The sequence below is a fragment of the Homo sapiens genome, chromosome 11 (genome assembly GCF_000001405.40).
Source record: "Homo sapiens chromosome 11, GRCh38.p14 Primary Assembly".
Classification (NCBI taxonomy): domain Eukaryota; kingdom Metazoa; phylum Chordata; class Mammalia; order Primates; family Hominidae; genus Homo; species Homo sapiens.
Window position 1 is genome coordinate 598,223 of NC_000011.10, and position 27,840 is coordinate 626,062.

Sequence of the window (27,840 nt, forward strand, 5' to 3'; positions counted from 1 at the left end):
GCCGGGCCGTGGCTGCTGCAGTGGCGGGTGGGGAGGCTGTCCTGCTTCTCTGGCTGCCATTGTGGGCTGTGTTCTGGGCTCCATTTGGGGTCTGTGCTGGACCGGCTGAGGCCCCAAGGGCATCTGACGGCACCACCCCTTTGCCTGTAGCACACACCAGGGCGCCTCGGGTCTTCCCTGCTGGATGAAGCCATCGAGGCTGTGGCGACTGGCCTGAGCACTGCCGTGTATCAGCGCCCCCTGACGCCGCGCACTCCCGCCCGACGGAAGAGGAAGACAAGTAAGCCTGAAGGGATGGACTCTCCCGCCAGCCACAGGCTGGGACCCACGCCCGAGGTCCACTCACTGCTTCCCTCAAGGCTGTGGGCATTTCCATTTCTTCTTTCTGCAAGTTAATCTTCTCTGCTGAAAACACTACACAGAAGCCGCGCCGGGCCCGGGAGGTGTGGGTCTGATGTGCCGATCTGCGACCACGCTGCCTCTGGCATTGTGTCAGGGTGATGCCGGCCTTCCCGCATTGTTCCCCTCTGCTTTCTGGAAGGATTGCATCCTGAAGTTTATGGAAGCAGTCTTGTTATTTTTGCTGTAAACATTTGTCAGAATACGCCCTGAAGCCATCTGGGCCTGGGCTTTTCTGTGGGGGCCGAGTTGAGATCAGTGATTTCGCATCTTGTCTTGCTTCTGCCCTGTTCAGGTTTTCAGTCCTTTTCTCTGTGAGTTTTGGTAATTTTGTCCCAGTGCTGGTTAACTTTGATGACTTGGTTCTCAGAGGTCCACTGTGAAGTGACTAATTCTCCCTTAAAATTAACGGGCCGCTCCTGGGGAGAGCCGTGGACTGCACCTTGTCAGACACCCCCGGCGCTGGTGCGCGTGCACATTTGGCTCTCAGAAGAGCATTCCCTTTCCCTCGTGGGGATTTAAGTCACTGTAGACGCATGGACTCCTGCTTTACTCAGTGCGTTCTAATCTGTGATCTTTTAGAAATTAACTGTATTGAAGCATGCATACTTTTTCTTTTTTTTTTTCTTTTCTTTTTTTTTTTTTTTTTTTGAGACAGAGTCTCGCTCTCCCAGGCTGGAGTGCAGTGGCATGATCTTGGCTCACTGCATCCTCCACCTTCCGGGTTCAAGTGTTTCTCCTGCCTCAGCCTCCCAAGTAGCTGGAATTACAGGCACCCGCCACCACACCCACCTAGTTTTTGTATTTTTAGTAGAGATGGGGCTTCACCATGTTGGCCAGGCTGGTCTTGAACTCCCGACCTCAGGTGATCCGACCACCTCAGCCTCCCAAAGTGCTGGGATTACAGGCCTCTGAGCCACTGCGCCTGGCCTGAAGCGTACGTGCTTTTTATTAAGTGAATGCACTCGCTTTAGTGTGTAGTCCTAGGTTTGACAGACGTAACTTCCATTCCAGCCAGCACAGAAATAGTTATGAGACCACACTTCAGCCCCACCAGCAGCCCTGTGGCCATGTGCATCACTGTGTGTCGGTCGTGCTGGTCCTGGGGCTCCAGGGGACTCAGTGTCTGTGGGTCTGGTGCAGGGTCCTGGGTCTCCAGAGGACTCGGCGTCTGTGGGTCTGGTGCAGGGTCCTGGGGCTCCGGGGGTCTCGGCGTCTGTGGGTCTGGTGCAGGGGCCCAACTTGCTCCTTTTGTTCAGCACAGTACTCTGGGAATCTCTGTAATTACCTGTGTCTGTGGCTGATTTTTTATTATTGAGAAATATTCCATTGTATGAATATACCACAGTTTGTCCTGTTGATGGGCGTTTGGCTGGGTGTTTTTTGCAGTTAAAATTGTTTTAATCTTTATGTCACTACAGATGTGCAGTGAGCTCATTTGTGTTAAAGTCTCAAGCAGTCCACCTGCCTCGGCCTCCCAAAGTGCTGGGGTTACAGGTGTGAGCCATGGTGCCTGGCCCTGATGAGAACTATGTAAGATATCTAATGGTGCACTCAGGGATGTCAGGCTCTGTTCTTCGGTGCAGCTCATTTTCTGTGTCTCTCCCCGATAGGAACACATTATTTTTATTCCTTTTTTTTTTTTTTGAGACAGGATCTCATCTTGCCCAGGCTGGAGTGCAATGGCGCAATCTCAGCTCACTGCAACCTCTGCCTCCCAGGCTCAAGCAATTGTGGTGCCTCAGCCTCCTGAGTAGCTTGTAATCCCAGCACTTTGGGAGGCTGGGGCAGGTGGATAGCTTGAGGCCAGGAGTTTGAGATGGCGCCACTGCAGTCCAGCCTGGGTGACAGAGTGAGACTCTGTCTCCAAAAATATATATATATATATATATATATATGGTTTATTTCTCCGTTTAAAAATCTTTGACGCCGGGCACAGTGGCTCGCACCTGTAATCCCAGCACTTTGGGAGGCTGAGGCGGGTGTGTCACCTGAGATCAGGAGTTCAAGACCAGCCTGGCCAACTTAACAAAACTCTGTCTCTATTAAAAATACAAAAATTAGGCCAGGCATGGTGGCTTACACCTGTAATCCCAGCACTTTGGGAGGCCGAGGTGGGCGGATCACGAGGTCAGGAGATCGAGACCATCCTGGCTAACACGGTGAAACCCCGTCTCTACTAAAAATACAAAAAATTAGCCGGGCATGGTGGCGGGCGCCTGTAGTCCCAGCTACACGGGAGGCTGAGGCAGGAGAATGGCGTGAACCTGGGAGGCAGAGATTGCAGTGAGCTGAGATCACGCCACTGCATTCCAGCCTGGGTGACAGAGCGAGACTCCGTCTCAAAAAAACAAAACAAAATAATACAAAAATACAAAAATTAGCTGGGTGTGGTGGCACATGCCTGTAATCCCAGCTACTTGGGAGGCTGAGGCAGGAGAATCGCTTGAACCCAGGAGGCGGAGGTTGCAGTGAGGTAAGATCGCACCAGTGCACTTCAGCCTTCGTGACAGAGCAAGACTCCGTCTCAGAAAAAAATTTGGGCAGGCGTGGTGGCTCACACCTGTAATCCTAGCTCTTTAGGAGGCTGAGGCAGGAGGATCGCTTGAGCCCAGAGGCCAGCCTGGGCAACATGATAAGCCCTATCTATAAAAAAAATTAGCTGGGCACGGTGGTGCCTACCTGTAGTTCCAGCTGCTTGGGAGGCTGAGGCAGGAGAATCACGTGAGCCCAGGAGTTGGAGGCTGCTGTGAGCTGAGATTGTGCCACTGCACTCCAGCTTGGGTGACAGGGCAAGATCCTGTCTCAAAAAAAAAAAAAAAAAATTGCAAGCCGGTGCGTGTGGTCCCGCTGTACCGGCTCCTTGGGCTCCGTCCACTGGGCTGGACTCACAGGAATGGGGCAGGGAGGGCCCAGCACAGAGAAGCACAGACTTCAACCTCTTTTCCTTAGGAAGACGGAAGAAAGTGCCGGGAAGAAAGAAAACCCCGTCCGGACCATCCGCAAAAAGTAAGAGCTCAGCGACAAGATCTAAGAAACGCCAACATCGAGTGAAGAAGAGAAGAGGGAAGAAGGTAAAGGTGAGCATTGGGTGGCAGGGCCTGAGTCTCCTGCTGGCCACAGCACCCTCGCGTGGTTACGGAGCAGGGCCTAAGCCTCCCGCTGGCCTTGGCACCCTCGCGCGGTTATGGAGCAGGGATCATCATCGTCTTTGCTTTTCTGTATTTACTCAGTGATTTGCTGATGGAAATGAACATTTCTGTAGCACAGACTGAAGATGGGGTTGAGGCCAGCTGTTTCCTGAGGCACACTGAGGGGTTGAGGGGTGGTCATGTGCCCCCAAGGAACCTTCCTGAAGCCATCAGCTGGTCGGGGAGCCAGGTGTGAGCCAGGCCAGTGCAAGCCCTCTGGCAGAGGCCCCCAGGAGCAGCTGTGGGTTTCAGGCAGGCCTGGCCAGCCTGGCTCTGAGGAGTGACACAAGCCGTGTCTGACAGGCCCTGTCCACCTCTTCTGACCCATGTTCGCTGGGCCCTGGGAGCGGCCTCCTTGGTATACGTCGTGGCGTTTGTTGTCCTAGGCCCTTTCCATCCAAAATCATGGACCAGACATTTAATATTCATTTTTAGTTGATCCCTAATTATTGTCTGTGTTGATGGGGTGGAGGGTGGTGTGTCATTCGTGTGCATGTTTGTGATGCTCAAACCGGGACTAAATGTATCACCTTGTCCACTCGGACTGCACATTTAAAACACCTTAATATGTAAAAACTTGAATTACGGCCGAGCGCGGTGGCTCACACCTGTGATCCCACCACTTTGGGGGGCTGAGGCGGACGGATCACCTGAGGTCAGGAGTTCAAGGCCAGCCTGGCCAACATGGTGAAACCCCATCTCTACTAAAAAGACTAAAAATTAGCTGGGTGTGGTGGCAGGCACCTGCAGTCCCAGCCTCAGGAGGCTGAGGCAGGAGAATCACTTGAACCCTGGGAGGCAGAGGTTGCAGTGAGCCGAGATTGCACCACTGCACTCCAGCCTGGGAGACGAGAGCAAAACTCTGCCTCAAAAACAAAACAAAACAAAACAAAACTGAGTTGCAGCCATTGTTCAAGTGTTTGCTGAATCTTTTTTGGTTTTGTTTTTGTTTTTTTTGTTTTTTTTTTTGAGATGGAGTCTCACTCTGTCCCCACGCTGGAGTGTAGTGGTGCGATCTCGGCTCACTGCACCCTCCACCTCCCGGGTTCAAGTGATTCTCCTCCCTCAGCCTCCTGAGTCGCTGGGATTATAGGCGTGTGCCACCACGCCCAGCTAATTTTTGTATTTTTATTAGAGATAGGGTTTCACCATGTTGATCAGGCTGGTCTTGAACTCCTGACCTCGTGATCTGCCCACCTCGGCCCCCAAAGTGCTGGGATTACAGGAGTGAGCCACCGTGCCCAGCCTTTGTTTTGTTTTTTGAGATGGTATCACTCTGTGGCCCAGGCTGAAGTGCAATGGCTCAATCCCAGCTCACTGCAGCCTTGACCTCCCCAGGCCCAGGTGATCCTCCCACCTCAGCTTCCTGAGTAGCTGGGACTACAGGCATAGCCCACCGTGCCCGGCTAGTTTTTGTATTTTTCGTAGACACAAGCGTTCGCCATGTTGCCCAGGCTGGTCTTAGACTCCCGGGCTTAAGCAGTTTGTCATCTAAGCCTCACAAAGTGTTGTTTGTTTGTTTGTTTTAGGTTGGGGCGGGAACAAAGTCTGGTTCTGTTACCCGGGCTGGAGTGCAGTGACATGATCCTGGCTCACTGCACCCGCCTTGACCTCCCAGGCTAAGGTGATCCTCCCACGTCAGCCTCTCAAGTAGCTGGGACCACAGGCTCACGCCACCTCACCTAGCTAATTTTCTTTTTTTGGTGGAGACGGGGTCTCACTGCGTTCCCCAAGCTGGTCTTGAACTCCTAGGCTCAAATGATCCTCCTGCCTCAACCTCCCAAAGTGCTGGGATTACAGGTGTGAGCGCCAAGTCTGCTGCATCTTTATGTGAATTTATACTCAAGATTATTGTTTATTTCCTAGTAAATATAAACTCATATAATACATATTTATCTAAAACCATATTTAAGTTTGTTTTTTTTTTTTTTTTTTTTTTGAGATGGAGTTTCGCTCTTGTTGCTGAGGCTGGAGTGCAGTAGTATGATCTCAGCTCACTGCAACCTCGGCCTCCCAAATAGCTGGGATCATAGGTGTGTGCTACCACGCCCGGCTAAGTTTTGTATTTTTAGTAGAGATGGGGTTTTGCCATGTTGGTCAGGCTGGTCTTGAACTCCCGACCTCAAGTGATCCACCCACCTTGGCCTCCCAAACTGCTGGGATTCCAGGTGTGAGCCACCATGCCTGGCCCTCTTATTTTAGTTTTAAATGCATTATTCGAACATCCGATCTGTTTATTCATTCAGACAAAATTCCTGGAGTAGAAGCTAAAGCCATGACCAGGTGTTGGATAAGGACCTGCTATTTCCCAGTTCTCAGGTCCCCTGGGCTCTCCCTTTGCTTTGCGGGGTGCCCTGAGCCTGGGTTGGAACCTCGTCTCCCATCCCTGTGCCCAGAACACTCCTGGGCGTCGTCCTGAGCTTTTTGTCCTGCATGCTGTTTCTGTGGTTCCTTTCTTCTGCAGACAGTGTTCTGGGACCACAGCCTGGGGGCCCGATGGCACGTGAGGGTGTTCACCCTTGGGAGGGGCGACGCCTGCCTTCAGGCGATGAAGTCCCAGCCACAGCGGGAGGCTGCCCTGTCCGCTCTGCCTAGAATCAGAAGGAAACAGCTAGTAACTCTTAGGGTTTTTAGGAATTTAGGAATAATGACAGCGCTTAAAATCTAAATTTGTGTCATCTTCTCAAGGCTTTTTTGGTGTTCTTGTTTGTTTGTTTTTGAGACAGAGTCTCGCTCTGTCCCCCAGGCTGGAGTTACAGTGGTGCAATCTTGGTTCACTGCAACCTCTGCCTCCCGGGTTCAAGCAGTTCTCTTGCCTCAGCCTCCTGAGTAGCTGGGATTACAGGCGTCCGCCACCAGGCCCAGCTAATTTTTGTATTTTTAGTAGAGATGGGGTTTCACCATGTTGGCCAGGCTGGTCTCAAGCTGGCCTCAAATGATCTGTCTGCCTTGGGCTCCCAGAATGCTGGGATTACAGATGTGAGCCATCAAGGGGTTTTACTGTCAGTCATCAGTTGAATTTTTTGTTTCCCTCTTTGTGAGTTTTCACTTAATGCTACTACGACGTGATGGTGACACTGCAATGCCCGAGAGCCTCTGGTAGCCTGCAGGAGCTTCACGGCCGATGTGTGCGGCATTGTTCCTGCTTGTCGGTCATCATGCCTGAGAAGCCCATTGACTTTGGCTTAGTATTTTCCGGCTCTAGTGTTCACTGTTGCTGATGAAGGCTTCACGTGGCATTTACAGAGCCCTCGTAGATGCCATCCCCGTCTCTCTGTTCATCTTTTTCTTTGTTACTGGATTCAGAGTGAAGCCACCACTCGCTCTCGAATCGCGCGGACGCTGGGCCTGCGCAGGCCTGTTCACAGCAGCTGCATCCCGTCAGTGTTGAAGCCAGTGGAGCCCTCTTTGGGGCTGCTGAGAGCGGATATTGGAGCTGCCTCTCTGTCTCTGTTTGGAGATCCTTATGAGCTGGATCCCTTCGACAGGTGAGTGAACTGGTGATGGTCCTGCCTGGGCACCCGCTCCTCTCCCTGGGGGCTGTGGGCACGGGGCCCCGAGGTGCATGCGGAGGCGTTAGGTTTTGTGTTTGAGAGTGAGGGTGGCCATTCCTCCCACCGCCATACGGTGCAGGTGGGTGGCGTGGAACTCAGAGGTCTGGTTCGGGGCCCGAATCACACGTGCCGCCACATGGCCAGTGCTCGGCCATCCTCCTCCGTGCCGTCTCCCTGGGCTGGGGTTTCTGGGAGCTGGGAGTCACTTGTTCCCTTTGGCCTGTGTCCTCCCCTCTAGCAGTGAAGAGCTTTCTGCAAACCCTCTTTCCCCTCTGAGTGCCAAGAGACGGGCTCTGTCCCGGTCAGCCCTGCAGTCCCACCAGCCCGTGGCCAGGCCCGTCTCCGTGGGGCTTTCCAGGTGTGTGAGGGCAGAGGCTTCTGGGGAGGTGGGGGCAGCAGTTGGGCATCGGATGGGAGTTCTAGGGTGGGGCCGTGATAGCCTGGCTCTCTGTGGCCCTGGGTGGCGTCAGCACCTCCCCTCAGCTGTCATGCTCATCAGTCGGCCCTTGGCGTGAGGCAGTGCTGCAGCCCATCCTGTGTCAGAGGCCACGGCCTGCCTGTGAGCGTGGACTGGGAGTTGCTGCAGCTCCACGAGGTGGCCCCTCTGCCCCCCACCCCGGCCTGAGAGCCACCAGCACAGGGACACCGCCTCGGGCAGGAGCAGTGGCCCTGGTGAATAAGGCTGTCATCAGAGGTCACCTTTTGGCCAGTTCTTTTGTTTCGCCACAAGAACAAAAAATTAACCAAAACCAACAAAACAGGTAAAGGTGCTTGTCTGCCCCCTCCCACCTGTTGGTGGAGTTGGGGGTGGCAAAGGCACCAGAGGTGACTTCTCCCAAAAACGCCTGGTTTCCCTGGGGCCAGAGCTGCGAGGTGGGGCTCCCTCCCTCCCTCCCTCTGGGAGGCCCCGGTGAGCACCTCTTAGAACAGCAGCCGGAGCCAGGGCTGTGGGGGAGGCGCAGGCCCGGCCCAGCCCCACTCTCCCTGGCTCCCGCCTGCTGCGGGGCTCTGCCTGGGTGCGGGCCCTCAGGCCGTGGGAGGCAGTGACGGCAGGGCCTTGGGTCTGTGCCCACAGGAGGCGCCTCCCTGCCGCGGTGCCAGAGCCAGACTTGGAGGAGGAGCCAGTGCCTGACCTGCTGGGCAGCATCCTGTCGGGCCAGAGCCTCCTGATGCTGGGCAGCAGTGATGTCATCATCCACCGCGACGGCTCCCTCAGCGCCAAGAGGGCGGGTGAGTGCCTTCCCTGCCACGGCCCCTTCCTCTGTGGGCTGCTGGTCCTCAGGCTGTTCGCAAGCACTCAGCCCATGTCTCAGTCACGGAAGATGTAGCTGAAGTTGGGGGGACCATTCCTCAGCCATTTTTCTGCATTGATTTCCCTTCTTGAGCAGTTTCTCAGTTAGCTCCGAGTTCTTACCCAGCCCCACAGCTTCATGTTCATAAGAACATGTCCTGATGGGGTACTGCCCCCGCCCCTGGTTAATATCGTGTCCTGATGGCCTCAGGCACTGTACTTTGTCATCCACAGAGTGGCTGTTGAAGCAGCTCTCCGGGTGTGGAAAGGCGAGGTGTCCACCTCAACAGGCAGACAGGAGTTTAAAGCGCACGACCTCACAGAAAACCAGTTGTGATAAAAATTAAACCACTGACATTTAAGAAGAGTGGGTGGGAAATGATTGCCATTGACTTTTTTGTTTTTTAGCTCCAGTTTCTTTTCAGCGAAACTCAGGCAGTCTGTCCAGAGGGGAAGAAGGATTCAAGGGCTGCCTGCAGCCCCGAGCACTGCCCTCCGGGAGCCCGGCCCAAGGCCCGTCAGGAAACAGGCCACAGAGCACAGGGCTCAGCTGTCAAGGCAGGTCCCGCACCCCCGCCCGCACCGCGGGGGCGCCTGTGAGGCTGGACTTGCCAGCAGCCCCTGGGGCGGTTCAGGCTCGGAACTTGTCAAATGGGAGTGTGCCTGGCTTCAGACAGAGCCACAGCCCCTGGTTCAACGGCACCAACAAGCACACCTTGCCCCTTGCCTCTGCCGCGTCTAAGATCTCAAGCAGAGATTCTAAGCCCCCATGTCGCAGTGTGGTGCCGGGGCCTCCCCTGAAGCCAGCGCCCAGAAGAACAGACATCTCTGAGCTACCCAGGATACCAAAGATCAGGAGAGATGACGGTGGTGGCAGACGGGATGCGGCCCCGGCCCACGGGCAGAGCATTGAGATCCCCAGTGCCTGCATCAGCCGACTGACTGGCAGGGAGGGCACCGGGCAGCCAGGGCGAGGCACACGGGCAGAGAGCGAGGCCAGCAGCAGGGTGCCCCGGGAGCCCGGGGTGCACACGGGCAGCTCCCGGCCCCCAGCCCCCAGCTCCCATGGCAGTTTGGCCCCACTGGGACCATCAAGAGGGAAAGGGGTCGGGTCGACCTTTGAGAGCTTCCGGATCAATATTCCTGGAAACATGGCACATTCCAGCCAGCTCTCCAGCCCTGGCTTCTGTAACACGTTCCGGCCTGTGGACGATAAGGAGCAGAGGAAGGAGAACCCCTCACCCCTCTTCTCCATCAAGAAGACGAAGCAGCTGCGGAGCGAGGTCTACGACCCATCCGACCCCACCGGCTCCGACTCCAGCGCCCCTGGCAGCAGCCCCGAGAGGTCTGGCCCCGGCCTCCTGCCCTCTGAGATCACACGAACCATCTCCATCAACAGCCCGAAGGCCCAGACGGTGCAGGCTGTGCGCTGCGTCACCTCCTACACGGTGGAGAGCATCTTTGGTACAGAGCCCGAACCCCCTCTCGGACCGTCCTCCGCCATGTCCAAGCTCCGGGGTGCAGTGGCTGCCGAGGGGGCCTCTGACACGGAGCGAGAGGAGCCCACAGAGAGCCAGGGCCTGGCTGCCCGGCTGCGGAGGCCATCCCCCCCAGAGCCCTGGGATGAGGAGGATGGGGCGTCTTGCAGCACCTTCTTTGGCTCTGAGGAGCGGACGGTGACCTGTGTGACTGTCGTGGAGCCGGAAGCCCCACCCAGCCCGGACGTGCTGCAGGCTGCCACCCACAGAGTCGTGGAGCTCAGGCCCCCTTCCCGGTCCCGCTCCACATCCAGCTCCCGCAGCAGGAAGAAGGCCAAGAGGAAGAGGGTGTCCAGGGAGCACGGACGGACGCGCTCTGGGACGCGCTCTGAATCCAGGGACAGGAGCTCGAGGTCAGCGTCACCATCAGTGGGTGAGGAGCGCCCCAGGAGGCAGCGGTCCAAGGCCAAGAGCCGGCGGTCCTCCAGTGACCGCTCCAGCAGCCGAGAGCGAGCTAAGAGGAAGAAAGCCAAGGACAAGAGCAGGGAGCACAGGCGGGGCCCCTGGGGCCACAGCCGGAGGACGTCCCGGTCGCGGTCGGGGAGCCCTGGCAGCTCTTCCTATGAGCACTATGAGAGTAGGAAGAAGAAGAAAAGGAGATCAGCGTCCAGACCTCGGGGAAGGGAGTGCTCCCCCACCAGCAGCCTGGAGAGGCTCTGCAGGCACAAGCATCAGCGGGAACGCAGCCACGAGCGGCCAGACAGGAAGGAGAGTGTGGCGTGGCCCCGAGACCGGAGGAAGCGGAGGTCCCGGTCCCCAAGCTCGGAGCACAGGGCACGGGAGCACAGGCGGCCTCGGTCCCGTGAGAAGTGGCCGCAGACCCGGTCCCATTCCCCAGAGAGGAAGGGGGCTGTGAGGGAGGCTTCCCCAGCGCCCCTTGCACAGGGGGAGCCAGGGCGGGAAGACCTCCCCACCAGGTTGCCAGCCTTGGGGGAAGCACATGTCTCGCCGGAGGTGGCTACGGCCGACAAGGCCCCCCTGCAGGCTCCCCCTGTCCTGGAGGTGGCAGCTGAGTGTGAGCCGGACGACCTGGACCTGGATTATGGCGACTCCGTGGAGGCCGGACACGTCTTTGATGATTTCTCAAGCGACGCCGTTTTCATCCAGCTCGATGACATGAGCTCGCCACCTTCTCCCGAAAGCACAGACTCTTCCCCGGAGCGAGACTTCCCACTGAAGCCTGCGTTGCCCCCAGCCAGCCTGGCCGTGGCCGCCATCCAGAGGGAGGTGTCATTGATGCACGATGAAGACCCTTCGCAGCCCCCACCCCTGCCAGAGGGCACCCAGGAGCCACATTTGCTCAGGCCGGACGCGGCTGAGAAGGCTGAGGCACCCAGTTCCCCGGATGTGGCGCCTGCGGGGAAGGAAGACAGCCCCTCTGCGAGTGGGAGGGTACAGGAGGCAGCCCGGCCTGAGGAGGTGGTTTCGCAGACCCCCCTGCTGCGGTCCAGAGCCCTGGTGAAGCGGGTCACCTGGAACCTGCAGGAGTCGGAGAGCAGCGCCCCCGCCGAGGACAGAGCCCCCCGTGAGTAGTGCCCCGGCCCCCACCGAGGACAGAGCCCCCAGTGAGTAAGGCCCTGGCCCCCGCCGAGGACAGAGCCCCCCGTGAGTAAGGCCCCGGCCTCCACCGAGGACAGAGCCCCCCGTGAGTAGGGCCCTGGCCTCCGCTGAGAACAGAGCCCCCTGTGAATCTGACTCCTGTCAAGGACAGGGCCCCTGAGTGAGTAGGGCCCCGGCCACCACAGGGAGCTTCTGGAGCCAGGGAACACTGGGATAGTGGGTGTGGGGGTCTCCTGCAGGTGGGCAGAACAGGTCATGGTCGGGGATCAGTGGCTAGGAGCTGGCACACCTCGCAACCTCCCCTTGGTGCTGGGGGTGGATCTGAGGGCTGCTCTGTGGTCCTTGCTCCTGGTGCTTTTCTGGATTTTTCCAGCCATGAAACAGCATTCTGGGCAGGGGTGGGCACAGAGCACCCACCTCCCTGTCTGTCGGGCCCCCAGGGGCACCACTTCACAGGCCACAGAAGCCCCGAGAAGGAGCCTGGGACATGGAGGATGTGGCCCCCACAGGGGTCAGGCAGGTGTTCTCCGAGCTGCCCTTTCCCAGTCACGTGCTTCCGGAACCCGGGTTCCCAGACACAGACCCCTCTCAGGTGGGTGTCTGGGCTGGAGGGCTGTGGGCCGTGGGCAGTGGCCTGGCACCCGTGCCACACACACCACACTAGGCTGGGGCTGAGGCCTCACAGCTCCTGGGCACAGAGCTGCTAGCTGTAGGGCCCAGTGCTCAGCAGGGGTGTCCCTCCCAGGTTTACAGCCCCGGCCTGCCGCCTGCCCCGGCCCAGCCCTCAAGCATCCCACCCTGCGCACTGGTCAGCCAGCCCACGGTCCAGTTCATCCTTCAGGGGAGCCTGCCGCTAGTGGGCTGTGGGGCAGCACAGACCCTGGCCCCAGTGCCCGCTGCCCTGACCCCAGCCTCAGAGCCAGCCAGTCAAGCCACTGCAGCCAGCAACTCGGAGGAGAAGACCCCGGCCCCCAGGCTAGCTGCGGAGAAAACCAAGAAGGAGGAGGTGAGTCCTGCCTCCTCCCACTTTCCCCATGTTCCCATCTTACTTTGAAACTAAAGTTGTTGGGGCTGAGTTTATGGGCGGAAGCTGGTCGCTGTGCCTCTGGAACTGCAAGGGTGTCCAGAACCACAGTGCCTCTGGCCAGAGGGACTCCCGGCTCCCTTCCTGGCCGCATCACACACATGTCCCCTCTAGTACATGAAGAAGCTGCACATGCAGGAGCGTGCTGTGGAGGAGGTGAAGCTGGCCATCAAGCCCTTCTACCAGAAGAGGGAGGTGACCAAGGAGGAGTACAAGGACATCCTGCGCAAGGCCGTGCAGAAGGTGGGCTGTGTGCGAGCCTGTGTGTGGGGCTCGGGGTCACGGGCGGTACGTCGCTGCTGTCTCGTCAGCATGGACTTTGGGGTGGCCATGAGTGCAGGCCCGAGGTCAGCCAGCCAGGTTAGGGGTCAGGGGGCTGTATTGCCACATCCTGTAGGCCTGGGGTCAAGCCTGTTCGCCTGTGGCTGCCCCTGGCAGATGCTTAGGAAGGAGGGTGCCTCAGTGCACCCTGGGTAATTTAAAACTACCCAGCCCACGCCCAGCTTACAGGTGGGAGAACGACCCCCAGAGGTGAGCAGTTGCCTGGTGACGTCTCAGCCCATGCTCCCCCCGCCCACCGACACCGTGGGACCCTCAGTGGCCTTGTGAGCGGCATAGCGAACAGGACGGGGGTCTCACATAGGTGGGGCGGCCTCTGCCGCCGTCTGTCTGCGTGCTGCACCTAGGGCCTGCTCCTGAGCAGGGCAGGCGAGGGAGCCCAGCTTTGGCCCTGGGCTCTGGCCCGGAACATCTGGATGTGAAAGGGCATTTGGTGATTGCACCTCTTTCTCCAGATCTGCCACAGCAAGAGTGGAGAGATCAACCCCGTGAAGGTGGCCAACCTGGTGAAGGCGTACGTGGACAAGTACAGGCACATGCGCAGGCACAAGAAACCAGAGGCCGGGGAGGAGCCGCCCACGCAGGGGGCCGAGGGCTGAGGCCAGGCAATCACGGGCTATGCCCGGGGAGCTGTCGGGAGTGGCGGGAATCGGGGCCATGCCCGGGGAGCTGTCGGGAGTGGCGGGAATCGGGGCCATGCCCGGGGAGCTGTCGGGAGTGGCGGGAAATGGGGGGCATCACCATGCCTGCCGTCGGGTTCCTGCGCTGACACCTGGTCTGTGCACCTGTGTTGCTCACAGTTGAAAACTGGACACTTTTGTATGTATATTATAGAGACACTGTTTCCATTCTAATTTATCAAAAATGGATTATCTTTAGAAACCTCTTGATTGACTTACTACTTGGAAGATAAAGCACTTGGTGATCAAGAGGGGCTCCTGGTGGGGTGGCGCGTCCTTGATAAATCTCTAGGTGGCCTCCCGCCAACAGCTGCTGTGTACCTTTGGCTCTGAATTAGGAATATCTTTACTTTCTCTTTTCCAATTATGTTGTGCTCTTGTAAATAATTGCTCGAGTTTGCACTCAACACCGTTGCCTCCTGGAGGCAGGGTGCAGCAGTGGCAGCCTGAGGGCTGGCGACAGGTGTCCTGCATGGGGAAATGCTGTCCCTGCCCTTGGCACAGCTGGTGGGAGTGGCTTTGGCGGCCACTGGCCTGTCAAGGGTCTTGTTCTTTGAGTCAAAGCTTGGCTGTGATGTGTGTGGTGAAGACAGAAGTGAGTTGGTGTGCAGGGAGGCCGTGGAGGTCCCCTCCCTCCCTGGGCCTCACCCGTGTTCAGCCTGGACCCAATTCCCCACCAGCCAAGATGCCAGTACGTGTTCTGGAGTTCTTTTTATTAGACTGGGCGGCCGCGGCCAGCTCTAGGTGGGCTGCTCCAGCTTTCTGGAGTTCTCATTAGACTGGGTTCTAGGCGGGCTGCTCCAGCTCCATAAGGAAGCACTCGATGTCGTCATAGAGGCTGTTGGCGCTGGACAGGCAGAGGCTGAGGCTGCTGCTATCCAGGGAAGACACACCCTCACGCTGCGTGCCCTCTAGGTGCACTCGGCACAGCCAGGGTTCCAGCTGCCAGGAGGGATCGGGCGTCTGTCAGTGACCCGGCGTGTGTCCTCCCCTCCCCCTCCCCAGGCTCTGAGGGCGTCGGGCGTCTGTCAGTGACCCGGTGTATGGCCTCCCCTCCCCCTCTCCGAGGCTCTGAGGGCATCAGGCGTCTGTCAGTGGGCCTGAGCACATGGCCTCCCCTCCTTGAGGCTCTGGTCTCACCTTCACCAGGACCAGGCTCTTCTCCTTGGGCCTCCCAGCTGACAGGTCCTGCCCGAAGCCCAGGTAGATGGTATAGCGTGGGGAGCCACGGCGCTGCCGTGCCCGGAATTCCACCAGCTCTGAAGAAGGGGACTCTGCTGAGTACCTGGCAGGCAGGTGCTCCCAAGGACCCCTGGAGACAGCCCCCCAGGCAAGGGCCTCACTGACCTTGGAAGAAGACTCTGAAGTCGAAGATGGGGGTGTCACAGTTCCGAGGCAGCAGGCAGGCTGGGGTGGAGGGGCTGGCGGAGCCTGGGGGTCCGCCCACCTCCCAGTACACCTTGCACTTGCCCATGCGCCGGGCCCACAGCTGTGGCCCCCGAAGCTCCAGGTGCAACCCAGGGGCCACGTGCCGCAGCAGTTCCTCCGTGTAGCGCAGCTGCTTCTGGTCCGGGAGCTCGGCAGGGCTGGGGAATGCTACCTGCTGGGGGTCTGTGGCCCGGACAGCTGGGTCTGGGGGGCCGTATAGGAACGTGCAGCTCGGGTGTCCCACCACCTTCTGCAGCACCGTGCGGCCCTTGTACATGATGGTCACGTCCAGCGCCCCTGGGCTGGGCTCTGTGTGGAGACCAAGCTGTGAGTGACGGGGGTGGGCGGGGACAGGCTGTGAGTGACGGGGGTGGGCGGGGACAGGATGTGAGTGACGGGGGTGGGCGGGGACAGGATGTGAGTGATGGGTGGGCGGGGACAAGCCGTGAGTGACGGGGGTGGGCGGGGACAGGCTGCCCCTTCCTGGGATGCACTCACCTTGCACCGCGGTGCAGGCGCTTGGGGAGGGTGACAGGTACGGCTCTGCCTGGTGCGGGGACTCTGGGGCCGCGGCCTCGCCTGCATCCGGAAGGGAATCCTGTGCTGGCACCTCATCCCTAGCCTCTCCCTGTGCCCCAGGCCTCCCAACCCCTACCCCTCTCACCTGTCGTTAGTGCCGCGGGCTGGGGCCCGGGGCTGGGGGTCGTCTCTACTGCCCACCCGTACAGCTCCCCAGCAGGGAGCCCTGGGCCTGAGGAGGGGAGGACAGTGGGAACGGTGGTCCCCTCCTAATTCTCCAGCTCCCCAATCCCCAGCCCCCTTCTAAAGTGTCCGTCCAGGTGCACTGGCCCCTCCCGCGCTCCCCCCCTCCCCGGGCACGCCCACACCTCCAGCACAGGCCCCAGTCAGGGGAAGCCCTTCTTGTCCCTCTCCAGGAGCCTTGGTTGGGACTGGATCTGCCCCCCATGACGCTGTCAGCAGATGGTCTGCCAGGCAGCTCTGTTGCACTGCCTGGAGCAGGAGGTCCCCCTTGTCACCAGCTGGGGCAGGGAGGGGGCCTGGGGCTTGGAGTCCAGCATGTGTGTGTGCCAGGAATGGCCCTGGGGGCCCACCCTGCAGGGAAAAGTCAGGGTGAACGTAAGCAGCTCCGCGGCCTGGCAGGAGGAGAGGCAGGCAGAGAGAAGGGTACCTGTGGTGGTGGGACAGCTGCGGGGGCCTCTGCCTCAGTCTGGTCCGTGCCTGGGCCTTCTGAGAGAGAATGGGGCAGGCGTTAGGCCCCGACACCAGAGTGAGAGATACAAGGAGAGCCTGGTGTAGCCCCCACCAGCTTCCTGGCTGTGAACCCTTAGGCTGTGGCCTGAGGAGGTGGGGATGTGGCTCTCCACCTGTCCTGGGCCTGCTGGCAGCCTCTCCCAGAACAGCTTCTAAAACCACAAATCTGACCCAGAGAATGTTCCCCTTTGCCCAAGCAGGACGAATGCCAACGCCCTTGGCAGCCGGCGTCGCTCACCTCGCCAGCACAGCTCCCGGCTGAGCGCGTACACCTTGTGCGGGTCGGCCGGGTCCCCCGAGTTATCCCGCAGCATCACGAAGCGACGCGTGCTGCGCAGTGCGCAGCGGAAGTTGGTTTTCCAGCCGGCGCGCTCCGCAGTCTCAGCCTCGGGGGGCGGGCCACCTCCCCTGCTGCTAGGCGGCCACCTGCCGCGGGCCACAGCCCAGGCCTGAAGAGGGGGACAGAACACGTGTGCCGGGCCCGCGGGGTCCTAGGCGGGCTCTCCCACCCGGGGCGGGGCGGGGCTGGGGTCCCCACCTTGAAGATGCGCGCGTCGGCCTCGCTCAGGTCCTTGCGCGCGAAGTGCTTCCAGGGCACGCGGAAACAGGTGCGGGCCTCGTCCAGCCACTGCAGCCCCTCATAGCAGCCGCTGCTGATCTCTCCAAGGAGCCACTCTCCGAACAGCACGCGTGGGGCTGCCCTGCGGGTGCCCGGCCGCGGAGAGTCAGGGCCGGCTGCAGGGCGCTCGGGGACTGGCATCTGGAGAGGGTGGGCCGGGCTCTTACCTCTCAGGAGCCAAGGCCATTGCTCCTTCTGCAGGGGCAGTTAGGTGGCGGTCAGGTGTTATAACAGGGGAGGTAAGGGCTCCTGTCGCAGCAGACGCCAGGCCGCGGCCACAGGTCGTGTGGCCAGGTGTCACAGGTGTCCACAGGTGTGGACTGAGGGCTTGTAGCCACCGACGCTGCCTCGGTATGGATCTCTTGGCAGAGGGGGCTACAGGTGTGACTGCAGGTGTGGCCGGCGCGCACACATGAAGTCACAGGTGTTGAACCAGTGTCCAGGCCTGGCGGGAAGGCGCAGGCCGGACCCTGCGGAGACGGGAAAGGCGACGTCAGGGGCGGGTCAGGCTCCCGGGAAAGCGAAACCTAAACAGTGGCGCTTCGCACCCTCCTCGATCCCACCCCGTCCGGTTCTCAGCTCCGCGGAACCCCGCCTCCGCCTCCGCCTCCCTCCCCGCCCGACCCTCATCTCTCAGGCTCCCCCAGCTCTTGGCTCTACCCCTCCGGGGTCACGGAGCCCCCACGGAGGCTCTCGCTCCCGGCCTGCACCGCGTGGGTCTGGGGTCCCCAGTACCTGGGTGCCAGAGCCGCCGGGACGGGAAGTTTCGTCTCGCGGGGAAGCGGAGGGCCGGCGCTTTTATGGTGGCCAGGCGGGAGTTTCCGGGAAGGGCGCGCGCCGCCTGTTCTTATTATTGGATGCGACCAGCGGAACCCCGCCCCGGCCAGCGCGGAGTAGGGAGGAGTGGAGGGCGTTGGGAGTGGCTGCAGTGAGCCGAGATGGAGCCACTCCACTACAGCCCAGGGGACAGAGCAAGACTCAGTCTCAAAAAAAAAAGGAAGTGGGTAATGGGAGGTGGACGTGCCTCGAAAAAGGGGCAGCTGCACCGTTTGCGTTTCTTTTTTTGAGATGGAGTTTCGCTTTTGTTACCCAGGCTGGAGTGCGGTGGCACAATCTTGGCCCACCACAACCTCCGCCTCCCGGGTTCAAGTGATTCTCCTACCTAAGCCTCCCGAGTAGCTGGGATTACAGGCATGAACCACCACGCCCGGCTAATTTTGTATTTTTAGTAGAGACGGGGTTTCTCTATGTTGGTCAGGCTGGTGTCGAACTCCCGACCTCAGGTGATCTGCCCACCTCGGCCTCCCAAAGTGCTGGGATTTAGGCGAGAGCCGCCGTGCGCAGCCCCCTTTGGGTTTTTTACATTGTTCAGTCAAGAATATCAGATACTCTCACAATTAAAACATTTGGAAAGGAATTAATGGTGTATTTCCATTAGGGAAAGTGCTGACAAGCCGCAAGGGATCCCTTGATGGTTCTGGGCATGGGCGCCCAGCCTGGGCTCTGGCTTTGGGAGCAGCGAGGGGAATGTGTCTCTCACCCCTAGGCCTCCTGGTCTGGCTCCTGCTCAGGCCACACGGCGCACCCACCCCCAGCGCGCCTCAGTCCAGGTCACTGGGCAGGGTGTTTACTGCTGCGCTCCAACCCAAGCATGTAGATTTCAGAAGGGGACTAGGACCCCCGGCAGGTGTTTGAGACCACCGGCTCCCAAGTGCGTCGCCTTGGGGGTTTGCATCGGCTCCTCAGCCTCCCCAGGCAATCTCTGTGTAGGGTCGGGAGCGGGAGGTCTGAGATGAGCCGGGTGCCTGAGATCTCCGGTGCAGGTCGGGGGAGGGGAGCCCCCCTCGGGCTGTGGTTAGAGCGGGAGAGGAACTTCCCAGACTAGCTGGCACAGAGCCTCGGGAAGGCGGCGGGCACTGCAGGTGGTTTACGGGAAGTGCTGCAGCCTTGGGGTGGGGACAGCGTGGCCAGACCCACCGCCTCATCTGCACACCTGGGCTCAAGCGCTAATGACGACAGGGGACTGAGTGAATGGGACCCCCATGGACCCGCGCGCCTGCCCCACGCCATGGCCTGGGTTTCGGGAGCCTTGCTTTATTCTGCCTCGGGTCGGAGGCTGGGGGAGCGAGACCTCCAGTGCCCGTGCGGCTGGGGGAGAGGGTGGAGGGGCCACTTAGATGTAGGAGTCATCACCACCGGGCGCATCGTAGGGACCCCCACCCCTCCCCGCGCCCTCGCCCTCATCGCCGCTGCCGGAGTCACTGGCGCCATCCACGTCCAGGGTGGGCGCGTTGAGAACGACCACGTCTGCCTCCGTCCCGATGTCCTCGCCAAACCAGACAGCCTTGTACCCGCCCTCCGGCCGCCGCTCCTTGGTCAGGATGGACCTCACCGCCGTGGGGCTTCCGCCAGCTCGGGCCGCTGCGGGGGGCTCAGGGGCACCGCCTGGGGAGGCAGGGCCGGGGGGTGCGGGCTCTGCGGGCATCGGTGCCTCCGCGGGCTTGGGGTCGTGCGTGGGGCTGGGGACGGGCGCCCAGTTGGCCTTGTGGTCAGGGAGGAACGCCTGGTTGTCAAAGCCTTGGGGCTGGGGCTCCTGCAGGCGGGAGTCGAGGCGTCAGCGGGGTCCCTGGGTCTCTGCAGCCTTGGCCCTGCACACCCTCATTCCACGCTGGACACCCCTCCGTCTCCACATCTGTCCCTCTGCCCTCCCCTCTCCTGTCCCCCGTCCCCCACTTCCTGCCTGGTCGCCTGCCCTGTTCTCCATCCTGGGCCTCACCGGAGCTTTGCCACAGCAGCACTTGAGCCGGGGGCCATAGTGCTTGTGGACAAGGACGGCGAGGCCAAGGAGAGCCAGCAGCAGCAGCGCACCCAGCACCCCGCCCAGGGCCGCCATATCCACCACCGAGAAGCGCTTGTCCTCCGAGGGGCCGCCACCTGGCATCGCAGTGGAAAACGTCATCATCCCCGCACTGTTGAGTGCCCCAGGCATTTCCCATGCCAACCTGTGCCAGGCTTGGGACACTTGGGTTCCACCCAGGCCTGGGCTGTCTCCCAAATCTCAGGCTCTGCTGACCCTGGCTCAAGGGGCCTGTGTGTCCCATCGAGACCCTGCCCACCCCCTCCCCCCCGGGAGGCCAAGCTGCTCACAGGAGCTCACAAGAGGTGCAGGGACTTGCAGGGTGAGCGGCAGCCGTGGGAATCGTGGGATTCGCTGGACCCCACATCTGGCCTCTGTCCTACACACATCACAGGTTACCTCACTGGGGGCCTTGGGCCTGTCTGTGTCTGTCAGTCCCAAACAGACTCCTCTTTGGGATTTCATGGTCAGGCCAGGTCAGCCTGGGGTGGACCCTTCCTACAGCGTTTCCCATACCAGCCAATGACCGGAGTCAGGGAGGGAAGGCAACAGAGTGGGTGCTACCTGAAGATGGGGTGCTCTTGCTGAGGGGCATCGGCTGAGAGGTTCCTGGCTCTGGGGTCTGTGCTGTGCCCCCACCGGGTGTGGTTGGTTGGTGGGAGGTGCTGGTTCCCATACCGGGGGGCATCGGCTGAGAGGTTCCTGCCTCTGGGGTCTGTGCTGTGCCCCCACCGGGTGTGGCTGGTTGGTGGGAGGTGCTGGTTCCCATACTGGGGGGCATCGGCTGAGAGGTTCCTGGCTCTGGGGTCTGTGCTGTGCCCCCACTGGGTGTGGCTGGTTGGTGGGAGGTGCTGGTTCCCACACCGGGGGGCATCGGCTGAGAGGTTCCTGGCTTTGGGGTCTGTGCTGTGTCCCCACCGGGAGTGGCTGGTTGGTGGGAGGTGCTGTTTTCTGCACCCGGGGGCCCCCCGGGTGTGGACGAGGTTGGTGGCCTCAGAGTTGTGCCAGAGGGTGGATGAGGGCCTGTGCCTCCCCCAGAGCTGGTCGTGGAGGGTCCCTGGGAGGGCTCAGGGGGTCTGGGGACCTCGGAAGTGGTGCTGGTCCAGGGCCCAGTTGTTCCTCCAGCCTCTGGGGATGGGGGGACATCTGGGGGCCGGGAACAGTGCTTGGGCTTGCCTCTGCCCGCCCCTTGCACACCTACCGCGGGAAAGGAGCCACCGAAGGGGCTTATTTGGAGAACCCTGGGGGCTCACCTGTGGAGGGGGGCTTACCTGTGGAGGGGGGCTCCTGTTCGGAAACTTGTATCTCAATGACTGTGGTTGCGGTGCCAGAGGTCACCGTGTTGTGGGCCTCAACCTGGGGCAGGAAGGGGCTTGTCCCTCCTAGACACATCTTTAAGCCCCACACCCTTGGAGATGCCCGCCTGCCCTGCCCCGCACCTCTGCGTAGAAGGCTCCCGCCTGTGCCAGTGTGGTGGTGGTCAGCACAACCTCTCCCTCCATCCGGAAGTGTGAGTGGTTGGTAATTCGATATGTGATGGCCGAGTTGAGGTCCTGGACAGGGTCTCATTGAGTCCCCGGCCAGGCTGCCTCCCACGTACAGCCCTGACCCACCCACAGAGGGGAGGCCTTGGATGCACTCTCTACCGAGAACTCCGGGTCCTGAGCCTGGATCCTCAGAGGCTGAGAAGGGGCAGCTGCATCCTTGACCACAACGCCCGCTCCAGCGCCACGCGCCACGGTGCCACGATACAGTCTCTGGGGGAAGCGGGGCGGGCTCCCGGCCGCAGCCACAGCCTCCACGGTGACCTGGGTCACTGAGTAGCGGGCAAGGTCGGCCTGTTGGCCCTGGAGGCGGGGGAGGCAGCAGTGACTAGTGGGGTTGAAGGTGGAGCTGGCGCTGAAGGCTGGGGCTCAGGAAAGGCAGGTGCAGACTTGGCGGGGGCCCTGCCCCGGCCCCCCAGCCCTGACCCCCCGCCCTACCTTCCACCCTTCCCCCTCTGCCCTGCCCCCCATGCAGGTGCCCACCTCACCTTCACCAGCAGAAGGAAGGTCATGGGGCTGGGGACACTCCTGGCCACGGTGAGGTTGCCCGAGTCTGGGTGGATGATGAATGTACCATTCACGTTTCCTGGGAGGATGATGGAAGTGCTCAGCCCCGGCCCCCTGAGGCCCAGGGACCCAGCCAGCTCTGCCCAAGGTGGGGATGGAGACAGGGACAGAGGGGGTACAGGGCATTGTTGAGGGCTGGGCCCCACTCACCCCTAAAGATGCTGTAGATGATGGGCTGGTTGATGCCGCGGTCTCCGTCCTCAGCGTAGATGGGTCCGGGACGCAGGACGAGGGGAGATGGCTTCAGGGATGGCGGAAGGGAGGGCACGTCGTGGGGCTGGGGTGGATGGCCCCAGCCTGGCCCCTCTGACTCCCCATCAAGGGCAGGGTTGGCTGAGGAGGGGCCCAGTCCCGCTGGTGGCCGGGCGTCCCTGCCTGCCTAGGACAGTCCCTTGTCCCAGCATCACAATCAGTAACACCCCTGTGGGTCCCTTACTAATGAATGAGTCCAGTGGCCCAAAGATACTGAGTCCCATTTGCACAAGGCTTGTCTTGACGGGTAAGCAAACATTTAGGAAGTGGGGGCTCCCGGGGTCTGCATTTCTGCCTCCCATGTACTGTTTGGTGGCCCCAGGTGCCTTGGTGCCAGGAAGGTTTGCAGACAGCCTGTGTGGGCCCAGTGGTGACTGTGAGCAGGGCAGAGATGTCAGCATCCCTTAAGAGCTCCAGGGCCCCAGCCCACCTCCCCAGGCCCCTGAGACCGCCTGGCTCTGGGGCCCACGCTCCTCCCTGTGTGTTCAGGGTTTGCTCCCTCACCGCTCAAGATGGGAAGGGTTGGTTTACAAGGAGAGTCTGCATTTGTTTCAAAATCACGACCGAAATCGGCCCCACCCCCTGACCCCGACCCCGCCCTTCCTCTCCTGATCCTGGCCGTCCCTGTGTCCAGCCTGCCTAGAAGGCCCTGCCCCGTGCACTGCCCCTCCCTCCCCATTACCAGTATGTGCCCCGTGGGGACAGCCCCGTGGTACTGAGCTTGAATGCAGACGTAGCCATCTGAGAAGGTGCAGGGCAGGAACCACGGGGGCCGCAGGTCGGCGGGCACCACGTTCAGCACTAGTGTGGCGGTGGCAGTGTGGCTGGGTTCCACATTCTCCCCCGGAGTGTCCTGCAACAGACGGCTGTGCTGGATCAGGCCTGGGAGCAGCTGGGGCCGGGGGGCCTCAAGTGTGTGGGACTCGGGGCTGGGGTGACCTGCTCACCCGCACCAGCAGCCAGAAGGTCATGTTCGGCCGCTCGTAGAAGTCCAGGGGCCGGTCCAGCCTCAGGGCGGGACGGTTTACACTCACCAGGGAGAAGTAGTCACTGGCACCCTGGGGAGGGTCAGGGAGGACAGAGCCTAAGAGCCTTGGAGGGCGAGGGCGGCTGTGGGTGTCAGAGGCGAGGGGCTCGTGCTGGGGCAGGGTGGGCGGCACTGACTGCTGTCATTTCCTGGAGGGTGTAGAACAGAATGTCGTCCTTGTCGCGGTCCTCAGCCTGCAGTTGCGTCTCGGGGATGACGGTGGAGTTCACTTTCGTGTCCTGGGGAGGGAGAGGGGCTTGGTCCGGCCACACTCTTGGCCCCTGTGGACCCCCACTGTGGTTGAGCCCCCGGCCACCACTCACCTCCTGCCCTCACCCTGGGCTCCCACACCCCCGTGCCCAGTCCCCGCGGCTTCGCTGGCCTCACCTCCTCCACCCTTATCTCCTTGGTCTTAAAGGGGAATTCGGGGGCATTGTCATTGACGTCCAGCACTGACACGAACACCCTTAGCTGGGTCACCTGCAGGATGTGGCCGTCAGCCTCTCCCACAGCCCCTCCCCGTTGTGAGGTGCACCCCTCGACGGCTATCCGTCCCCACCGTGAGTGAGGTGCACCCCTCAACGGCCACCTGTCCCCGCCCTAAGTGAGGTGCACCCCTCGACGGCCACCCGTCCCTGCTGTGAGTGAGGTGCACCCCTCAACGGCCACCCGTCCCCGCCGTGAGTGAGGTGCACCCCTCAACGGCCACCCGTCCCCGCCGTGAGTGGGGTGCACCCCTCGACGGCCATCCGTCCACTCGCTCATTCAGTTGTTGGGGGGCTACAGGGGCTGCACAGCTCTAGGCGTTGGGATTCAGAGATCACAAGAGACAAATCTCTGCCTGGTGGTGCCTGTCCTGGCAGGACTTATAACAACAGACAAAAAGGACTTTATAAAGCCAGGAGGTGGCAGGTGCTCCACAGAAAAATAATGCAGGTACTTGGGGATGCAGCCAGCAGAATCTCAGGTGAGGAAAGACAATCCATTTTCTTTTCTCTGTTTTTTTTTTTTTTTGGTTTTTGTTTTTGTTTTTTGGTTTTTGGGTTTTTTTGGATACAGTCTCGCTCTGTCGTCACCCAGGCTGGAGTACAGTGGTGTGATCTCGGCTCACTGCAACCTCTGCCTCCCAGGTTCAAGCGATTCTCCTGCCTCGGCCTCTGCCCACCTCGGCCTCCCAAAGTGCTGGGATTACAGGTGCCTGCCACCATGCCCAGCTAATTTTTGTATTTTTAGTAGAGACGGGGTTTCACCATTTTGGCCACATTGGTCTCGAACTCTTGACCTCAGGTGATCTACCCGCCTCGGCCTCCCAAAGTGCTGGGATTCCAGGTGTGAGCCACGGCGCCCAGCCAGGACTCTTCTTTTTAGAACATAACCACAATGTCGTTGTCACACCTGGGAAAAGCGGTCACTTTCTACCTCAAATGTCCAGGATGCCACATTCCCCGTGGTCTCTGAAGGGTTTTTTAACAATTGTTTGTTTGAATCAGGGCCCACATTATGGACCTGGTTGGTAATTCTCCTGAGTTTCTGTTCATCTGTACCTTTCCCTTTCTCCCATCTTTTTTCCTGGAGATTTATTTGTGAAGAAACTGGATTGTCAGCCGGGCACGGTGGCTCACACCTGTAATCCCAGCACTTTGGGAGGCCGAGGCGGGCAGATCACCTGAGGTCAGGAGTTTGAGACCAGCCTGACCAACATGGAGAAACCCCGTCGCTACTAAAAATACAAAAATTAGCCGGCCGTGGTGGCGCATGCTTGTAATCCCAGCTACTCAAGAGGCTGAGGCAGGAGAATCGCTTGGACCCGGGAGGCGGAAGTTGCAGTGAGCCGAGATCGCTCCACTGCACGCCAGCCTGGGTGACAGAGTGAGACTCTGTCTCAAAAAAGAGTCTCTCTCTTTCAGAGACATATCCCAAGATATGTGCAGGTGACGTGCCGTGGTGCATGGAGGGCACAGAGCCTGCTGTGTGCTGGTAGGTGAGGGGGCCTGTGCTGGCCTCAGGATTCTGCAATTTTCCTTAATAAAGCCGAAAAAAATGCCGCCGGTCAAGAAGCAGGATGTTGGGGGAGCGGGGCTGGGATGCAACAGGGCATAGGGTGGTTGGGATTTCTCTGAAGACTGCAGTCCTGAGCCGGTGAGGGAGGGGCGTGCCTGGCGGGAGCCCTGAGGCTGCAGTGGAGCCTCTGCACAGTATGTCTGGGTTTGACTCGGTGAGAAAGGAGCCGTGGAGGGCTGGGGTGGGCTGGGCAGCCTTGGTTTACAACATCCACAGGGGCTGTTCTGCCACGTGGAGTGGACTGGGGCCAGCAAAGGGCAACAGGGAAGCCGGTGGGCCAGCTGGAAGTTTCCCAAAATGAGTGCTGGTGTCCCGGCCCTGATGGGACTGGAGGTGGACAGACTCTGGATTTCTGGGTCGAGCTGGGGCACAGCCAACAGATTTACCAGTGGGGGGCTGTGGGGGACACGTGGGGAGGGAGGGCGAGTGGGAACCAAGGTGGTCCCCGTGACTGGCAGGATAAAGGTGCCTCCCTTGTGGATGGTTGAGGGAGTGGGTGGGAGTCTTGGGCACACTGGATGGGGTGTCTGCTGGACAAGGGGTCAGTGACGGGGACTCCACAGCTCAGGGCAGAGTCTGGACTGGAGGAAATGTGGGCATCACCCTCGGGGGGGTGGAATTTGAAACCACACCCTAGCTGACGTCATCAAAGACTGGTCCTGGACCGGCAGGGCAGAGCCCAGCAGAGGTGGCCGGGTGGGGCGGGGAGAGCGGGGCGGGGACTCACCAATGTGCCTCCGCTCTGACACAGCAGCTGAGCCTCAAGCAGTGACTTCTCCTGTGGATGTAGACAGGTCTGCAGTCACCGTCCTGCCCCACAGGTGGGGAGACTGAGGCCAAGTGGGCAGGCGCTGGCCCAGGGTCCCCATCATCAGTGGTCAGTGCTGAGGGTGTGGGCCCAGGCAGCTTCATCCCGAAATGGCCCAGCCTTCTAGGGCAGGCACCACCAAGCATGGGTGTCAGTGGATGCCCGCAGGCATAGAACTCCTAGGCCCCCAAGGGAGGTGTGGCCTGAGGATGCAGGTGCCCTTCTCCCGGGACCCCCATATCCCGCCCGCCTGCCGCCCACACCTCGTAATCAGGAGTCACGTTGAGAAACAGCTGGTTTCCCTGGATCCGAAATGCAAAGGGGGTGGACAAGGCTCCGAGGGTCACCTCCTGGCCCTCCGGGACGTGGATGTCCACCAGCGGCTCGGTGACATTTGTGTTCTCCTCTACTTCAAAGATGTCCTTGTTCACAGAGCAGTCTGTAAGGTTGCAGAGGAGGGATCAGTGCCTCCCAGCCCCTGGCTCCCCGCCGCCCGTGCCCCACCTACCCCTGCCCGCACATACACTGGGCCTGGGCCATGGTCCCCGGGGGTCGGACGAGCAGCCCGGTGAACAGCAGGGGAGGCCACAGCAGGGCCCAAGACCCCATCTTGGCGGCTGTCACCTGGCAGGAGGGTCTGAGCGGGTCTGGCGTCTAGGACTGGCGCAGTTCCTACCTCAGCGACCTTCGCCCCAGCCAGACGCCGCCCAGTTTATGATCCTTTACGACCGGCTTCTGCCAAGGGGGCTCCCGCTGGCCGGCTGGTCCAGCCCACTGCCAGAAGGAGGGGCAGTCGTTTGGCCCAAGTTGGACTGAGTGCAGGGGTCAACCAGGGGGCTCAGGTCACAGGCACCGAGGCACAGGGCAGAAGGGACTGGAGAGCGGCTCATGGGTGCCGTGGGGGTAGGGGCAGGGCAGGGGCAGGGCTAGGGTGTGGGAGAGAAGCTGGGGGCTGGGGGCGGGGGCTCGGCCCTTGGTGTCGGGGTGTCTGGAACCTGCCTCCCTAGCCCAGGCTGCCCTGGCTTGGCTCCTCCCCTAAGATCTCCCTCAGGCAAAGTTCCTAAGGCCACCCCTTGAGGCTCAGAACCCGGGTGTTCCCCAGGGAGCACCTCCCTCCCTGCCTGACAGCAGGTTCTGAAGGAAAAGGCTCTCCTCACTGTGTCCTGGGGACACCCCTGCCTGCCCCAGAGACAAGTCGGCTTCTCAGGGCGGGGCTGGACAGGGCCTTAGTGACTGAGGCTAAGGCGGGGCTGTGAGGGGCAGCTGGGAGTTCCTGGGGGGCCCTGGTGCCCGACAGAGGGGGTGAGGTGAGACTCGACACTTGCCCTGCTCTTTTCATTGGCCCCCCAGAAGCCCCCAGCTCTAGGGAGAGGCCACTGGGTAGGGTCGGGGCGAGGAAGTGGCTGTCGTGAGGGGTAGGTGGAGTTCTCCTCCTCCAGGCCTGTGCGCCGAAGCTTCTGGCCTCTCATGGCTGGGGCTGGGCTCAGTGTCCTAACCCTGCACGGTGCCCTCATGGTCGCCTTCAAGCCCTGCACGCTCCGTGCTCCACAGGCTCTGAGGGGTCAAGCCACTGGTCCGAGGCCACACGAGACAGAGGGTCCGGAGTCCTCACGCCAGAGTGGATTCCTGGCACCCCAGGTGACACCTCCACCCTCCCCTCTTCCTGCCCGCCTGAGCCCCCCTGGCCCCTTCACACCCTCCCCACTACCCCTTACAGAAACACTGACCACATGGGCCCCCGGGCAGGAGCTGAGAGGGTGTCCGGGATC

General features: G+C 60.6%; 3 protein-coding genes across 32 annotated transcripts in view, besides 5 other annotated features; 1 reads left to right on the forward strand and 2 right to left on the reverse strand.

Moving 5' to 3' along the window:
- PHRF1 (PHD and ring finger domains 1) overlaps positions 1–14,000 on the forward strand; it is a 35,753-nt gene extending 21,753 nt beyond the window's left edge. For 5 of the 15 annotated variants that reach the window (NM_001286581.2, XM_005253025.6, XM_011520237.4 and 2 more), the window contains 10 exons: positions 151–280; positions 3,352–3,479; positions 6,897–7,078; positions 7,383–7,502; positions 8,220–8,374; positions 8,844–11,498; positions 11,974–12,125; positions 12,279–12,539; positions 12,732–12,860; positions 13,412–14,000. In NM_001286581.2, the coding sequence (NP_001273510.1) occupies positions 151–280; positions 3,352–3,479; positions 6,897–7,078; positions 7,383–7,502; positions 8,220–8,374; positions 8,844–11,498; positions 11,974–12,125; positions 12,279–12,539; positions 12,732–12,860; positions 13,412–13,555 (4,056 nt within the window). In that variant the 3' untranslated portion in view covers positions 13,556–14,000. The remainder of the gene's footprint in view (positions 1–150; positions 281–3,351; positions 3,480–6,896; positions 7,079–7,382; positions 7,503–8,219; positions 8,375–8,843; positions 11,499–11,973; positions 12,126–12,278; positions 12,540–12,731; positions 12,861–13,411) is intronic. The other 10 variants (NM_020901.4, NM_001286582.2, XM_047427348.1 and 7 more) reach the window with 3 other exon arrangements.
- Positions 6,437–7,055: an enhancer, noted in NCBI's record as "H3K27ac-H3K4me1 hESC enhancer chr11:604659-605277 (GRCh37/hg19 assembly coordinates)". NCBI's record gives its function as "activates a minimal SCP1, AML or CMV promoter by ChIP-STARR-seq in primed H9 embryonic stem cells {active_cell/tissue: H9 hESC(primed)}" and the evidence as "EXISTENCE:reporter gene assay evidence [ECO:0000049][PMID:30033119]".
- Positions 14,212–14,806: an enhancer, noted in NCBI's record as "H3K27ac-H3K4me1 hESC enhancer chr11:612434-613028 (GRCh37/hg19 assembly coordinates)". NCBI's record gives its function as "activates a minimal SCP1, AML or CMV promoter by ChIP-STARR-seq in primed H9 embryonic stem cells {active_cell/tissue: H9 hESC(primed)}" and the evidence as "EXISTENCE:reporter gene assay evidence [ECO:0000049][PMID:30033119]".
- On the reverse strand, positions 14,333–17,728 carry IRF7 (interferon regulatory factor 7). Of its 9 annotated transcripts, none has more exons than NM_001440442.1 (11): positions 17,691–17,728; positions 17,123–17,425; positions 16,875–17,037; positions 16,575–16,785; positions 16,254–16,309; positions 15,952–16,177; positions 15,729–15,815; positions 15,563–15,643; positions 14,984–15,373; positions 14,777–14,895; positions 14,333–14,578 (listed from the first exon to the last, which is right to left on the reverse strand). In NM_001440442.1, the coding sequence occupies exons 2-11, from the start codon at positions 17,140–17,142 to the stop codon at positions 14,423–14,425; spliced, it is 1,509 nt and encodes a 502-aa protein (NP_001427371.1). In that variant the 5' UTR covers positions 17,143–17,425; positions 17,691–17,728; the 3' UTR covers positions 14,333–14,422. The 9 variants fall into 9 exon arrangements, with proteins under 9 accessions (NP_001427371.1, NP_001563.2, NP_001427374.1 ...); NM_001572.5 differs by having other exon boundaries at positions 16,254–16,312; NM_001440445.1 differs by lacking the exon at positions 15,729–15,815.
- Positions 15,401–15,995: an enhancer, noted in NCBI's record as "H3K27ac-H3K4me1 hESC enhancer chr11:613623-614217 (GRCh37/hg19 assembly coordinates)". NCBI's record gives its function as "activates a minimal SCP1, AML or CMV promoter by ChIP-STARR-seq in naive H9 embryonic stem cells {active_cell/tissue: H9 hESC(naive)}" and the evidence as "EXISTENCE:reporter gene assay evidence [ECO:0000049][PMID:30033119]".
- Positions 16,590–17,184: an enhancer, noted in NCBI's record as "H3K27ac-H3K4me1 hESC enhancer chr11:614812-615406 (GRCh37/hg19 assembly coordinates)". NCBI's record gives its function as "activates a minimal SCP1, AML or CMV promoter by ChIP-STARR-seq in naive H9 embryonic stem cells {active_cell/tissue: H9 hESC(naive)}" and the evidence as "EXISTENCE:reporter gene assay evidence [ECO:0000049][PMID:30033119]".
- On the reverse strand, positions 18,361–26,733 carry CDHR5 (cadherin related family member 5). 8 transcript variants are annotated; one of them, XM_011520189.3, is made up of 15 exons: positions 26,596–26,733; positions 26,335–26,510; positions 25,991–26,041; positions 23,590–23,682; positions 23,340–23,441; positions 23,123–23,233; positions 22,858–23,028; positions 22,074–22,164; positions 21,845–21,942; positions 21,459–21,659; positions 21,252–21,365; positions 21,084–21,168; positions 20,377–20,532; positions 19,732–19,889; positions 18,361–19,548 (listed from the first exon to the last, which is right to left on the reverse strand). In XM_011520189.3, the coding sequence occupies exons 1-15, from the start codon at positions 26,678–26,680 to the stop codon at positions 19,129–19,131; spliced, it is 2,112 nt and encodes a 703-aa protein (XP_011518491.1). In that variant the 5' UTR covers positions 26,681–26,733; the 3' UTR covers positions 18,361–19,128. The 8 variants fall into 8 exon arrangements, with proteins under 8 accessions (XP_011518491.1, XP_011518490.1, XP_006718316.1 ...); XM_011520188.3 differs by having other exon boundaries at positions 20,377–20,625; XM_006718253.4 differs by having other exon boundaries at positions 20,377–20,718.
- Positions 21,877–22,482: an enhancer, noted in NCBI's record as "H3K4me1 hESC enhancer chr11:620099-620704 (GRCh37/hg19 assembly coordinates)". NCBI's record gives its function as "activates a minimal SCP1, AML or CMV promoter by ChIP-STARR-seq in primed H9 embryonic stem cells {active_cell/tissue: H9 hESC(primed)}" and the evidence as "EXISTENCE:reporter gene assay evidence [ECO:0000049][PMID:30033119]".
- Positions 26,734–27,840: the final 1,107 nt, after the last annotated feature.

Coding starts and splice junctions, on each gene's coding strand:
- IRF7 (NM_004031.4), bottom strand. CDS start 17,096: ATGCCAGTCCCCGAGCGCCCTGCAGCCGGCCCTGACTCTCCGCGGCCG. Junction 16,313..16,574: donor CCGGGAGCTGTGCTGGCGAG/GTGAGCGACGCC, acceptor ATTCTCTCTCAG/AAGGCCCAGGCACGGACCAG. Junction 14,896..14,983: donor CTTCAGAGTCTTCTTCCAAG/GTCAGTGAGGCC, acceptor CCCCTTCTTCAG/AGCTGGTGGAATTCCGGGCA.
- CDHR5 (NM_021924.5), bottom strand. CDS start 26,680: ATGGGGTCTTGGGCCCTGCTGTGGCCTCCCCTGCTGTTCACCGGGCTG. Junction 21,169..21,251: donor CGGGAGCCTTCTACGCAGAG/GTGCGGGGCAGG, acceptor TTCCTGCCCCAG/GTTGAGGCCCACAACACGGT. Junction 19,549..19,731: donor GCTGCTGTGGCAAAGCTCCG/GTGAGGCCCAGG, acceptor TCCCGCCTGCAG/GAGCCCCAGCCCCAAGGCTT.